The sequence below is a fragment of the Homo sapiens genome, chromosome 13, assembly GCF_000001405.40.
Source record: "Homo sapiens chromosome 13, GRCh38.p14 Primary Assembly".
NCBI lineage: Eukaryota > Metazoa > Chordata > Mammalia > Primates > Hominidae > Homo > Homo sapiens.
The window spans coordinates 67,597,358-67,613,202 of record NC_000013.11 but is presented as its reverse complement, the minus strand read 5'-3'; the positions used below and the strand labels follow the sequence as shown (position 1 = coordinate 67,613,202).

The 15,845-nt window shown below is 33.4% G+C and overlaps 1 long non-coding RNA gene across 2 annotated transcripts in view; it reads right to left on the bottom strand.

Annotated features, from left to right (window-relative positions):
• The window catches only part of LOC105370249 (uncharacterized), a 52,794-nt gene that overhangs the window by 35,954 nt on the left and 995 nt on the right, over window positions 1-15,845 (bottom strand). For both annotated transcript variants that reach the window (XR_942046.3, XR_942047.2), the window contains exon 2: window positions 14,443-14,477. This is a non-coding gene — a long non-coding RNA (uncharacterized LOC105370249). The remainder of the gene's footprint in view (window positions 1-14,442; window positions 14,478-15,845) is intronic.

Sequence of the window (15,845 nt, the reverse complement as noted above, 5' to 3'; positions counted from 1 at the left end):
AGCTCCGCTTCCCGGGTTCACGCCATTCTCCTGCCTCAGCCTCCCAAGTAGCTGGGACTACAGGCGCCCGCCACCACGCCCAGCTAATTTTTTTGTATTTTTAGTAGAGACAGGGTTTCACATGTTAGCCAGGATGGTCTCGGTCTCGATCTGACGTCATGATCCGCCCGCCTCGGCCTCCCAAAGTGCTGGGATTACAGGCGTGAGCCACAACGCCTGGCCTTAATGTTCATATTTTGAGAGGTTTTCAATTCGATAAAATCTGGCACCTATTTTTAATCCACATTGAGCCATTTCCATCTATTTCGAATACAATTTTATTTTACAAATGTGGCCAAACTCAACAATTTTAGGAACACAATTATTCTTCTAAATGAGGTAGCTTTATGATTGGGCAAAATACAAGTTTGCATACTTACTTTCCCCTTTGAGACAGTATCAATTTTGACAATAAAAACTTTTTTGTTCATTCCCCCTTTCTTTGAAAATTACTCACTTGATACACTCTCTTTGCCCACGTGAAAAGTGTTAAGTCTCTGATTTTTATGAGAAATAGAAGCAACTGGAGTATGGGTATCCTAATCCTAGAATCAAATAGGGGAAAAGAGCATACTAACATTGATTGAGATCTAGCATTGAGATCTAGGTCCTACAACAGGTGTGATATATACAGATTCTCATATAGGAAGCCCTTGGTTCTATTCTTGCTTCTGGATACGAGCGGCAATGCAATCTTGGACAGTAGTTAATTGCTATCGTTCAAAGCTATTTCTTTTAAAACTAACGGCTCTAACTAAATTACTTATGTTGTAATTTCCAGATTTAAATTAATATCATTGTATAGATATAACAGTAACTTATTTACTCATATTATAACTTTATTGACAAGATAATATTATTGTAAGTGTTGTGGTCTACAACGGAGACTTCCATATTCTTTCTTCAGCACGTTTTAACATTGTCCAGCATCTATTTTTCCTATATTTCATTTTAAATTGAATTTTCTTTCTTTTTAATGGACAAATGAAGACAGCATGTTATTATTGGTAAGTGCCTGTCTTCACTCATCCCAATGTAAAATAGTAAATAAATACTTTACAGCCACTACTACTTATAAAGTGCTCTCACAAATATTTAATCCATTTATCTGTATATAATGGAGATCCACAATATTCAAAGAATTAATGAAGACCTTCTAAGTTTAGAATTCCTTGATTAAAAAAAGGACATGATAATTTTGATAAATGTAGGGAGCTCACTTTTTCTCCCCAAATTTCTAAACTAACATTCAGAAGCATCACACAGATGGAGATCAAAATATCAGTTATATATTTGATAAAATTCAAACTGGAAAATTTGTCTTAGATTATCTAGACACAACAGGGTTTCATAACACTTTATTGTTGTTTGGTATCCAGATTGTTTACCAAGCCACTGGCATAGCAAAGGTTGCAGACCTCTATGCATTATGGGCCATGAGCCCCATTATAGAAAGACTGCATTCATCCAAAGAAGAGGTCACTCCAAAGAGCAGGGACCCAGAAAACCTTAAGCTCTGTATCACCATTTCCTTCTCCTAGGTTCATCAATTAGCCAAGTTGCCACTCAAATGGATAGGTATGTGAAACAATGTACAGAGGTTAAAAGAGCTGGAGGATTTTTGAATACTCTTCTTATGGTGGAATGGAAGTTTCTTATCTTATGAAGAAATGTGACAAGTGAGTATTCACATTTCTTTTCAGAGGTCATGTCTGAAGAACCTCAACACACAATTGCCTGAGCTTCCATGAGGCCACAAAAGGAAGACAAGATTCAAAGACTTCAAGGCTGTGTAATTCAAATGTAATACTTTCCTCAACAATAAAAAGAGGAAAAAATGCCTACATTGTAGTGTGATTGTGAGAACTAAATAATCTACTTGGTATCAAACAATTAGTATGCAAATGTTACCTAGGAAGTAGTGATTAACTTTGAACAGGCAGTATAGCCTTGAAGGGAAAATTGTCTTTGGAAAAAAGTGATTTTTTAGTTTTGGATTTTCTCTTTATTAGCTGTTGGACTATGAGCAACTTAGGGAACTTTTAAATCTTTTTTTCATTTATAAAGATGATGAGTTTTTTAAATAACAAAAATCTATGTAAACAATGGAAATTGTTAAAGTTAGATCATGACCTATACTCATTAAATGCTAGCAATTATTTTCATGAGAAAATGTTCAGATTTGGAAGTCTGCTTGTACAGTCAATTATCATTTGTCATTTGTTTGCTCATTCAGAAAAAGAGTCTCTTATATTCTTAGATTAACTGTTGTGCACCAGGTCTGTTCTAGGCACCTGAGGTACATCAGTGAAATCGACATTAAAACATCCAAGTCGTAGAAGAACTCAGATGTCAATAGACAGATTTAATTGTTAGCTGTCAAAATTTAGATGGAATGTAAACAGGCAAAAGTTCTTACTCCATTTATCACATAAATTGCCAAGATCACTTTGTGATAATTTCATATTGAGGGTTGATTTTATTTTCCTAAAATATGTGTACTGGGAAGACAGCATGCACACACATATAAATATAATATCTGAACAGTAAGGTTATCATGAAACTAAAACTGTTCTTATTTGCTTTTGGTCAAAGGTAGATAGTTTTTGAAAAATTTGAGAGTTTAAGGGCCTAAGAATCAGATTAAAAAATCTGTGTTGTAATTTGACCCCATGAAGATAGTAGGAGTGAAAATTCTCCATCACCTAGAGAAGTAAAATTCACAAAAGTGAAATGAGATCAAGATAATAAATTGAAAAACAAAAGCATACCTATACAATGGAAATGTTCAGCATCAGAGATCCCTAAAAAATTTTCAGAACATGGAAAGAACATGGGATGGATATCACTATTTGGAGAAAAAGCAACATAGCAGCAAAGACGATATGAAGCATCAAACAAGAGATTTTAAGATAGCAGCAGTATATGCTCAATTCTGACTAGCTTTGTATAATCTACGGACATCTGTTTAATTTCATATCTTTTCCTGCTTTACTGAGTTTATAATAATAAGAGCAGTAGCTTCTAGATAGCTGAGTTTCTGGACCATAAGATCCTACTTTTTGATAATGGATAAAAATATATACCCCTCTTTACATATTTCTTGCACCTTTCTTGCTAAATTCTCTCTTTTTTGAGAATTATGTAAGATTTTTATAAAGACAAATTTGTGGCTTCATTTCATTTTGCTTTTAGTTGGCTATTGCTAATTTAGCTGGCAAAGAGTATTCAGGGATTTTTGTTTTATGTAAAGCAAACTATAGTACTATTATTCCCATTTATATTTAAACTAAAAAGATGGCATTGTCTTCTCACCTCTTAGTGGACTGCAAACATTATTTATATATTCAAGGAAAGAGAAACTATTTTTTTACTCATTAATGATTTGAAGCCATTGTTTTAATAAGCTATCCAGGTATATAGAAAACAAAGCAAAACATAGTAATAGTCTATTTTACCAGAAGAAAAAATAAAGAACAGATATTTCATGAGAAAAGCATGGAAATAAATATGAGAGAGGAACAGAGTACTGAGAAGAAGAAGTGAACTACATTAATATCAGTAGTTCTCAACTGGGAAACATAACTGTTAATACGAAATTAGCCTAAGAGGGGAGAGGGCCAGCTATCATGTGAATAAACCCAGAGGACTTTTCCCAGAAAAAAAAAATGGTTTATGTGATCATTCACCCTAGGAGCAGAGCATTCACAAATGCACCAGGCTTCACTTGACTGAGCATTTCCCATTACTTGTTCCCAGAACATTTGCCAGCTCCCCATATATGCCCAAAGAAGATGCCCTTGCAATCCTAACTTGCCTATTTCCTGTCCATCAAAAATGAAGCCCATCTATGCCAAACTTAAATTCTTCTCTGTCTCATTTTTATAACCCAATGTGGGCTCTCTCCTTCTAATATCTAGACAGCCAAAGGCTTCAGGAAGAGGTAGAATCCCATGTAATTAGTGGGATAGAACTGAACAAGAATCAAAGCTTGAATTTTGAGGTATGATGGAGAGAGCAGAGTAAAAAAATCCTATTATATTACCACTTAAAAGCAAAAAAAAGCAATTGTAAAGCATCCATCCATTGTGCCAATCTATTTTTAGTTATAAACAACATCCAGTTGAGCTCATTAGGTTTTCCAAACTTGGCTGTAAAATAATTCTACAGAGTGACAGTGGTAACATCACCTCCAGCATTACACATCCTCAGGTTTTTTTTTTTTTTAATGGATTTAGGTTCATAAGGACGATGGTACTACATAGATACCTTGCACAGTGGTACAGTCTGGGCTTTTAATGTACTCATCACCTAAATAGTGTACATTGTACCCAACTGGTAGTATTTCATCCCTTACTCTCATTCCACACTCATATCTGGGAAACTCCAATGCCTGTTACTCTACTCTGCATGTTTGTGTTTACTCATTGTTCAGCTCCCACATGTGAGTAAGAACATACAGTTTTTGACTCTCTGTTTCTGAGTCATTTCACTAAGGATAATGGCCTCCAGTTTCACCTATGTTGGTACAAAAGTCATGATTTCATTCTTTTTCATGGCTGAGTAGTATTCTGTGAGATACATATATATATATATATATACACATATATATATTAGATATATTAGATATTATGTTATATTATACATATATAAGATATATGTATCTTATATATCATATATATGAGATATATATCTTATATATCATATATATGAGATATATATCTTATATATCATATATATGAGATATATATCTCAGATAAGATATATATATCTCATGTGAGATACATATATATTTTGTATATATATAAGATACATATATATGTATATATCTCATATATAATACATATTATATACATATATAATATATAATATATACATATATAACATATATAATATATATAATATATACTATATACATATATAATATATATAATATATATTATATACGTATATTATGTATATACTATATATAATATATTATGTATATATTATGTATATATATTATATATTATATATAATATATAATATATACATATATAATATATATTATATATATTTAATATATATAATATATAATATATACATATATAATATATATTAAATATATTTAAAATATATAATATATAATATATACATATATAATATATATTATCTATATTATATATATTTAATATATTATATATTATATATTATATATTATATATAATATATAACATATTATATATAATATATATTATATATTATGTATATATTATATATTACATAATATATATCATATATAAGATATATATATCTTATATATATCATATATATAAGATATATATAAGATATGAGATATATATATAAGATATATATAAGATATGTCACATGAGATATATATATTATATATATATATCTCTCTCACATGAGATATATATGTATATATCTTTTTTATTTTAGGTTCAAGGGTACTGTTGAAGGTTTGTTATATAGGTAAACTTGTGCCATGGGGGTTTGTGGTGAAGATTATTTTGTTACCCAGCTATTAAGCCCATTACCCAGTAGTTATTTTTTCTGCTTTTCTCCTTCCTCCCACCCTCCACCCTCAATGAGACCCCAGTGTCCATTGTTTTCCTTGTGTTCATGAGTTCTCATCATTTAGCTTTCAGTACTAAGTGTGAATGTGTGGTATTTGGTTTCCTGTTCCTGCATTACTTTACTAAGCATAATAGTGTCCAGTTTTATCCATGTTCTCACAAAAGACATGATCTCATTCTTTTTTATAACTGCATAGTATTCTGTGTTGTATATGTATGACATTTTCTTTATCCAATCTGTCATTGATGGGCATTTAGATTGATTCTTTGTCTTTGCTACTGTGAAAAGTGCTGAAATGAACATTCATGTGCATGTGTCTTTATGGTAAAATGATTTACATTCCTCTGGATATATACCTGGTAATGGGATTGCTGAGTCGGATGGTAGTTCTCCTTTTAATATTTGAGGAATCGCCATCCTTCTTTCCACAACAGTTGAACTAATTTACACTCCCACCAACAGAATATAAATGTTCCTTTTTCTATGTAACTTTGCCAGTATCTGTTATTTTTTGACTTTTATAATAGCCATTCTGACTGGCGTGAGATGGTATCTCATTGCAGTTTTGATTTACATTTCTCTAATGATCAGTGATGTTGAGATTTTTTTTATCTGCTTGTTGGCTGTATGTACGTCTCCTTTTGAAAAGTGTCAATTTATTTCCTTTGCCCACCTTTTAGTGGGGTTGTTTTTCTCTTTAAACCACATTTTCTATCCAATTATGATAAATACATTCATTCCATGACTTTGCTATTATGAATAGTGCTGCAATAAACATATGAGTGAAAGTGTCTTTTGATGAAATGAATTATTTTCTTTTGCATAAATACCCAGTATTGAAATTGCTGAATCAAACTGTAGTTCAATTTTTAGTTATTTGAGAAACTTTCATACTGTTTAGGCTGTACTAATTTACATTCCCACCAGCAGTATATAAGCATTTCTTTTTCCACATCCTCATCAACATCTGTTTTTTTTTTCCTTTTAATAATAGCCATTTTTACTGGTGAAAGATGGTATCTCATTGTGGTTTTAATTTTCATTTATCTGATAATTAGTGGTGTGGAGCATTTTATCCATACGTTTTTGAAAACTTGTATGTCTCTTTTTGAAAAATGTCTGTTCGTATCCTTTGCCACTTTTTAAAAGTGTCATTACAAAAGATACAACAGAAATACAAAAGATCATCAGAAACTGACTATCTCTATGTGCAGAAACTGGAAAACTTAGAAGATATGGAAAAAATTTATGGAAACATACAAATTCTCAAGTTTAAACTAGGAAGAAATTGAAAACCTGAACAGACAAATAGCTATTAGTGAAATTGCATCAGTAATAAACAAAATCTTCCAACACAAAAAAGCCAAGGAATAGTTGTATTCATAGCTGAATTCTACCAGATGTACAAGAAAGAACTGACACCAATCCCACGTAAATTGTTCTCCAAAACCCAGGAGGAAGAATCCTCCCTAACTCATTCTACAAAGACAGCATCACCCTGGTATTAAAGCTAGGCAAGGACACAGCAAAATAAGAAAACTACAAATGAATATCCCTGATGAACATAGATGTAAAAATCTTCCACAAAAACTAGCAAAACAAGTTTAACAGCGCATCAAAGAGATAACATGCCACAATCCAGTGGATTTTATTCCAGGGAAGCAAGGTTGATTCAACATATGCAAATCAATAAATGTGATTCACCACCTACACAGAATTAAAAGCAAAAACCATAGGATTATATCAGTAGATAAAGAAAAAGCTTTCAATAAAATCCATCATCCCTTCATGATACATACTTTTACCAAACTAGCTATAGAAGGAACATACCTCAGAATAATAAAAGGCATATACGACAAACCCACAGCTGAGAGTGTACTAAATAGGGCAAAGTTGTCATCATTCCACCTTAGAACTGGAACAAGGCAAGAATGCCTACTTTTACCACTTCCACTTAACATAGTACAGGAAGTCCTAGTCAGACCAATCGGGCAAGAGAAAGAAATAAAAGGCATCCAAATTGGAAAAGAGAAAGTCAAATTTTCTGTTTACTGATATAATCTTATAAATGGAGAGCCCTAAAGAGTCTCCCAAAAGACTCCTAGATATGATAAATTACTTCAGTAAAGATTCAGGATACAAAATTAACATATAAAAATCAGTAGCATTTCTATATATCAATTACAATCAAGCTGAGAACAAAATCAATAATCCAATCCCATTTACAATAGCTACAGAAATACCTATAACTGTATTTAACCAAGGAGGTAAAAGATCACAAGGAGAACTACAAAACACTGATGAAAAAAATCATAGACTTCACAAACACATGGAAAAGCATCCTATGCTTATGGATTTGAAAAATCAATATCAATAAAATGAGCATACTGCCTGAAACAATCTATAGATTCAATGCAATTCCTATCGCATTACCAACATCATTCTTCACAGATTTAGAAACAACAATCTTAAAATTCATATGGAACCAAAAAGCACCCAAATATCCAAAGCAGTTCTAAGCAAAAAGAGTACAGTTGGAGATATCACATTACCTAACTTCAAACTATACTACAAGGCTATAGTACCCAAAACAACATGGTGTTGGTAATAGACACATGGATCAACGGAGCAGAATAGAGAACCCAGAAATAAAGCCACATACCTACAGTCAACTGATATTTGACAAAGGTACCAAGAACATACACTGAGGAAAAGACACCCTCTTTAGTAAATGGTGCTGGGAAAATTGGATATCCATATGCAGAAAACATAAAACTGGACCCCTATCTCTCACTATATTCAAAAATTAACTCAGATGGTGTAAAAACCTAAACGTAAGAACAGAAAATATAAACATTCTATAAGAAAACTTAGAAAAAAACTCTTCTGGACATTGGTCTAGACAAAAAATTTATGACTAAGTCCTCAAAAGGAAATACAACAAAAACAAAGTAGACAAATGTACTTAATTAAACTAAAAAGCTTCTGCACAGCAAAAGAAATAATCAGCTAAGTAAACAAACAATCTACAGAATGAGAGAAAATATTTGCAAACAATCTATCTAACAAAAGGCTAATATCCAGAATCTGCAAGGACATCAAATAACTCAACAAGAAAAAAAGCACATCTTTAGTTTTGAAGTTCAATGAAATCTGATGGGCCCGCTTTGGGTGAAGTGTCCATCGCTAGGCAGTCATTGTGGCCAAGGTAAAGTACAGGTAACATGCTCCATTCCTAGATCCTGGGGTGGAGTCAAATTTATCGGAAACATGGACACTGAGAAAGCAGTAGGGTGCAGAGTCCCATAGAGGAATATCCTTTATTTTTTTTTCATTTTTTATTTTTTATTTTTTTTTAGTTCTGAACAAATGGCAGATAAACCTTTCTCCAGAAAGGGAAGACTTATTACCATTAAAACGCCAAAAGAAAATAGAAAAATTTAGTGACAAATTACTCAGAATTTTATTTTTAAGCTTGATTAAATGTTTCTGAAGTTTATGTGCAAAATAAATGTAGACCAAAAAAAATCTTGAAAAAGTGGGCCAGGCACGGTGGCTCACGCCTGTAATCCCAACACTTTGGGAGGTTGAGGCAGCTAGATCACTTGAGGTCAGGAGTTTATGACCAGCCTGGCCAACATGGTGAAACCCCATCTCTACTAAAGGGAGGCTGAGGCAGGAGAATGGCGTGAACCCGGGAGGCGGAGCTTGCAGTGAGCCGAGATCGTGCCACTGCACTCCAGCCCGGGTGACAGAGCAAGACTCCGTCTCAAAAAAAAAAAAAAAATACAAAAATTAGCTAGGCATGGTGGCGCATTCCTGTAATCCCAGCTACTCGGGAGGCTGAGGCAAGAGAATCACTTAAGCCTGGGAAGCGGAAGCGGAGGTTGCAGTGAGCAGAGATCGTACCACTGCATTCCAGCCTGGGCGACAGAGCAAGACTCTGTCTTTAAAAAAAAAAAAAAAGAAAAGAAAAAGAAAAAGAAAAAGTGAAATAGCAAGTTCAAATTTTTTATACTCGAAATTAAGAGTTAGTATAAGTCAACAAAATAAAAATCCGCATAGTGTCTGTGGAGAGGTAGGCAAATAGATACGTGGAAGAGAGTCTAGAACTAGGTCCAATTAAGATATAAATCAAAAAGTTAGCAATACAGTTAAAGCAAGAACTTAAATACACAGGAAATTTAAATGGGTCCACAGATTATTCATCTGTAAGACAACAATTTATATCTGTTATATCCATACTTTGTAAAGTATTCCAAACAAGTTCAATATAGATTAGATATCTTAACAAGATAATAAAAATAAGAATATTGCCATTATAGCTAATTATTGAATGTTCATATTATAGCTGGCATTGTTGTAAGCATTATTACAAGTAAGTCAGTTATTCTTCCAACCAGTTTGCTTTTATCAATAAAGGAATTAGAGTACTGAGAAGCTCAATCATTTGCTGCTAGGTATGGATTTAGAATTTCGAACAAAGCAGATACTTTGCACTTTATAATTATTTTATTGTAAATCTATAAAAATTTTAAAAGAAAAATATTTTATTGTCTTTAGGATGAGAACAGGTATTATTATAAATATTCAGATTTAAGAAATGCTAATTTTCCTTATTTCTCTAAATCAAATAATTTGTTGGTAATCCTCCTCAAAGTGGTAGAAAATTTAAAGTCAGCAATTGGAGGAAAAGAACCTCTTCTTTCCTAGGGTCTTAAAAAGTGAGAATCTATACATTAGTTTATCTTACTATGTAAAAATTTAGCACAAATTTACAAATTTCTTATCTCAGTTTTCAGCATCAAGGGTTCAGGTATGGCTAAACTGGTCCTCTGAACAAGGTCTCACTAAGATAATGTTGGCTAAGCTGAATTTTCATCTGCAGTTTGGGTTTTTCTTCCAAGTACATTTGGGTTGTTGGCAGAATTCAGTTGATTGAGGCTAAATAACTGAGGTCCCTATTTTCTTGCTGACTGTCAACTGAAGTCACCATCAATTCCTAGAGGCTGCCCCCATGTCCTATTCATGTGGCACTCTCAAAACATTGCAGCTTACTTCTTCAACACTCAGAGGAAAATCTCCAATAGTCTAATAAGATGGTGTCTTATTGACATAATATTATCCTATGACATTTTCCTTTAGACTGGTCCACAGAAAAATCTAAATGGGTTTTATTTCTATGCAATTTCTTCTCTTGGTACTGTAATGCAAAACTCATTTGCAACATAAGAAGCAAGAAAATGTAAAGATTTAGCCACCATCTTGAGATGGAAAAGGGTTAATATCTCTTAGTCTATCTAGTTTGTGACAGAAATATAAACAATTTGATACAGTTTGGCTCTGTGTCCCCACCCAAATCTCATGTCAAATTGTAATCCTCAGGTGTCAGGATAGGAATCTGGTGGGAGGTGATTGGCTCATGGCGGGGGGGGGGCAGTTTCCCCCATGCTGTTCTCCTGATAGTGAGTGAGTTCTCAAAAGATCTGATGGTTTAAAAGTGTGTGGCAGTTCCCCCTTCACTCTTTCTCTCCTGCCACCTTGCGAAGAAGGTACTTGCTTCTCCTTTGCCTTCCTCCATGACTGTAAGTTTGCTGAGGCTTCCCCAGCCATGCAAAACTGTAAGTCAATTAAGCCTCTTTTATTTATAAATTACCCAGTCTCAGGTAGTTCTTTATAGCAGTGTGAAAATAGACTAATACATAGTAAAAATTAATGAACACTAGATTACCTTTCCTGGTAAGGAGGACATATAACCAAATATATATGAAGAAATAAAATAAAATAAACAATTAAATTAAAATATAAGTGTTCATGTGGTAAACAAACAAACAAAAAACACTGTACATAATTTCAAAATATAAATGATAGACCACAGGAAGAAAATATCATTAATGTATATGACAGAGCAATACAAAATACCTTTTTAACTTAACGCAAATAGCTCCTATAAATTCATAAGTAAAACAACTTAATAGAAAAATGGTAAATAATATGAATGAATAATTTACAGCATAGAAAATGCAAAAGGGCAATAAACATATTATAAGACATTTAACATTACTAGAAATCAGGAAGCAAATTAAACCTGCAATGAAATATAATTTGTCATCTTTGCACTGAAAGGTATACAGGAGTAGATATTCTTACACCCTTTTGGCAAGAATGTAAATTATAACATTTTAGAAAGTAATCTGGTAGTATTTATTAAAATTTAAAATATAGGTGCTTTCAGAACCAGGATTTTTCTTCTGTGAAATATTTTACTAATATAAACATACCAACAATTGAGAGATATAGGCATGACCTACAATTAATAGAAAAAAATCTGGTAACAATATTGATATTCAAGTTAAACAATGGTTGAATATACATTAAATTCTTTTTTATAAAACTAAAAACTATTAAAAGATGATAGATTAATGTATATCTAATATGTGTTGATTGAGAGTGTGTCTCTGGTGTATTTTAAGTGGAAAAACTTACATTAAAATCTTTAAATATAAACCCATATTTTTGAAAATAAAACAAATCTAAACCAAAAAAAGTTTGTATTGAATACAAGCACTATTTTGGGAACATACACTATATACACCAAAAGATTAATAATTTTTAGTTCTAATACTCTATATTCAATCAAATTAATAGGTATTAATGTTTTTCAGGATAATATTACTCCCATCTAAATGTTACGTATTAGTAGGCTGATATGACCTTAACCTAGGAACACGTTTCGCATTATTTCTCTCCTTACTTACTCTTGGGGCTCTAACTCACATAGTATTTAGTTCTGCCCACACAGCTGTTTGAGCACAATGATGTTGGCTCTAAGTCAATATCTAAGAATATTTCTATATTTACAGCTCCATAAGTTAATTTTGTTTGTTCATTTTTTTCTGTTAAATAGGTATGGACTATGTCATAGAATACTAATTTTTTAAAGATATAAACCACAAATATTTGAGAAGGGAGTTGAGACCATTATATGTCGAATAATTGTCTTGTGCCACACAACTTCCTAGTTGTTTTCAGTGTCCATAAACGTGAGTCTTATTTGTAAAAACTTATTTGTAGAGCAATGAGCAGAATTCTGATTAGAAGGACTCATACACACGCAAGAAAAAAGAATAATATAAATGAAGACAAAAAGAACAGAATAAATAAGTTTGACTCAAAACATAGTTAAGAGAGAAAGCCGGCAGCAGCATGAAGAGACCAAAATGTTTGTGTTTATTCTTCCATGTTTTAAACAGTTCATTTTCTCTCTAGCAGGCTATGTCTATACTGCTCTCTCAAGTAGACCTAAGTAAGATCTGATCATGAGGCCATTACAATTCTGAAGGCAGTGTCCAGACAGTCACTTAGAGAAAACACATAAATAAAGCTCTATATTTTAAGATTTCTGTTTTCAAAATCAGTTTAAAAGAAAAAAAGAATAGAAAAAAAATCTGGTTTCTTTTTACTGGACACATTTTGCTCCCATTCATACATTTCTTGCTGCTAAACTTCAGCTTTTTACATCATATTATCATCAGTGTAATTCTTTCAGTCCAATATATATTTTCTGTTTTTGTTCTCTTGACAGTGCCTTAGTCTTCTCAGATTGCCATAATGAAATACTATAGATTGAGTGATTTAAACAGCATAAATTTATTTTCTCATAGTTTTTTTTTTTGGAGGCTGAAAAGTCCAAGATCAAAGTTCTGACATGGTTTGGTTTCTGGTGAGGGCTCTCTTCCTGGCTTGCAGACAGCCTCCTTCTAGCTTTGTTCTTATATGGACTTTCTTTGGTGCCTGTACATGGGACGAGAGAGTGAGAAAACTCTCTCTTTCATCCTCTTCTTATGAGGCACCAATCCTTTCATATTAGGATCCCACCCTTTTGACTTCATTTAACCTTTATTACCTCCCAAAAGCCCTATCTATAAATGCTGTCACATGAGGATTAAGACATGAACATGTGAATTTGGGAAGAGGGCACAATTCAGTCAGTAACACATATCAACACTTATTATTTTGGTTATTTATTTCAATTGGGAAATTAGAGAATACACTGACACACAATTAAATATAATGCAGGCACTATAAGTAAGTCTGCATTCGTTAGTTTATTCTTCCAGTAAACATTTTCAGAGGCCTATTCTAGCCACTATAACAGAAAGCCTAGAATATTGAGTAAATAACTGTAATCCTTAAAATGTAGGGGAAATTTGGGCTGGGGGTCGTGGCTCACACCTGTAATCCCAGCACTTTGGGAGGCCAAGGTGGGTGGATCACGAGGTCAGGAGTTTGAGGCCAGCCTGGCCAACATGGTGAAACCCCATCTCTACTGAAAATAAAAAAATTAGCTGGGTGTGGTAGTGTGCACCTGTAGTCCCTGCTACTTGGGAGGCTGAGGCAGGAGAATCGTTTGGGCCTAGGAGGCGGAGGTTGCAGTGAGCCGAGATCATGCCATTGCACTCCAGCCTGGGCCACAGGGAGAGACTCCATCTCAAAAACAAAAAACAAACAAAAAAAATTAGGGGAAATTTGAGACAATTCTATTGTCATATCAGATAATCAATCACGTGATTTGATACTCTGTTCTCTACCCAGCATTCTAATCTTTGTTTTGGGGAATAAAAATAGCAGTACATAACATAGACCTTGACATTAAAGGCCTAATATGTTCATAAATATCTTAATTTTAAGGAATTGTTATGGTTAATTTTATGTTGGTGTAACTGTGTTAAATCATACCTAGATAGTTGGTAAAACGTTATTTCTGTCTGTGAGAGCGCTTCCAGAAGATTAGAATTTAAGTCAATAGACAGTAAGATTGCTCACCAATGCAGGCAGTCATCGTCCAATCTTCTGGGGGCCTGAACAGAATAAAAAGATGAAGGAAAGGTGAATTTGCTCTCTCTTCTGGAGCTGGAACATATGTCTCCTGCTCTTGGATATGGGAGCTCCACATTCTCAGACCTTCAGACCACGGAACTTACCCTTATGCCCCCCTGTACCCCCAGCCCTATTGTCAGACCTTCAGCCTCAGTTATATTATCAGCTCCCTTGCTTCTCAAAACTTTGGACTAAGATTGAATTACACCACTGGCTTTTCTACTTCTCCAGATTTCAGAAAACATACTGTGGGATTTCTCAGCCTCCAAAATCATGTGAGCTGATTCTCGTATTGAATCTCCCTTTATCTATCTATCTATCTATTTATCATCTATGTATCATCTATCATCTATCTATCATCTGTCTATGTATCATCTATGTATTATCTATTTATCTATCTATCATCTAACTTTCTATGTATCATCTACCTATGTATCATCTATGTATCATCTATCATCTATCTATCATCTATGTATCATCTATGTATTATCTATTTATCCATCTATCATCTAACTTTCTGTTTATGTATCATCTGTCTATCTATCTATCTATCTATCTTTATCCATCCATCCATTTACATATTCAGTTATTTATTTAAAAGAAATAGATAACTGTTTTGTTTCTCTGGAGAACCCTGACTCATACAAGAATCGTTACCTTCTCAATTATCTATAATCACAACAATGTTGCATATTTAACAATCACAAGACTTTCATGGGATGCAATGATAGACAGCTATTTTTATTCAAAAGTCTGTGTATTTGGTGGGTTATTCTGCTGGCTGAGCTTGGCTCACTGGAGCCCATCCATGCAGCTGTGGTCAGCTTCCCAACAGTTACTCAGCTTTGCTGATCTTCAGTGGCTCCTTCACATGTCTGGAGCCCCAGCTAGAAATAAATACTAGACTGACTTGGTTCTTCTTAATGTATCTCCTTGGGCATGACCTCCAGGCTTTGGTCTCAGAATGAAAGCAGAAGAGCAAGAGAGAGAGAATGGAATCATGCAACACCTTCTAATCAGGAGTCTCAGAACTGGTACATGATTTCCTAATTGTCTATTATGTAAAACAAGTTAAAAGCCCACACCGGATTCAAGTGGTAAGAAAGAGAATGCATCATTGATGTGAACAGCTATAAAGACTCATTGCAAAGGATATGGATACTGGAGCTTGTTAGTGGGTGAGTGAAGATGGAGGCCATTTCTGCAGTCTTCTACATTAGCACAGATAAAAAATGCAGAAATTGTAAACTTAAATTGATAATTACTTTAGCAGAAAACCAGAGAAATTACCAAATGAAACCATAAAGCTGCCTATGTTAGTGAATCACAGATGCTTAAAAAAAACAAAG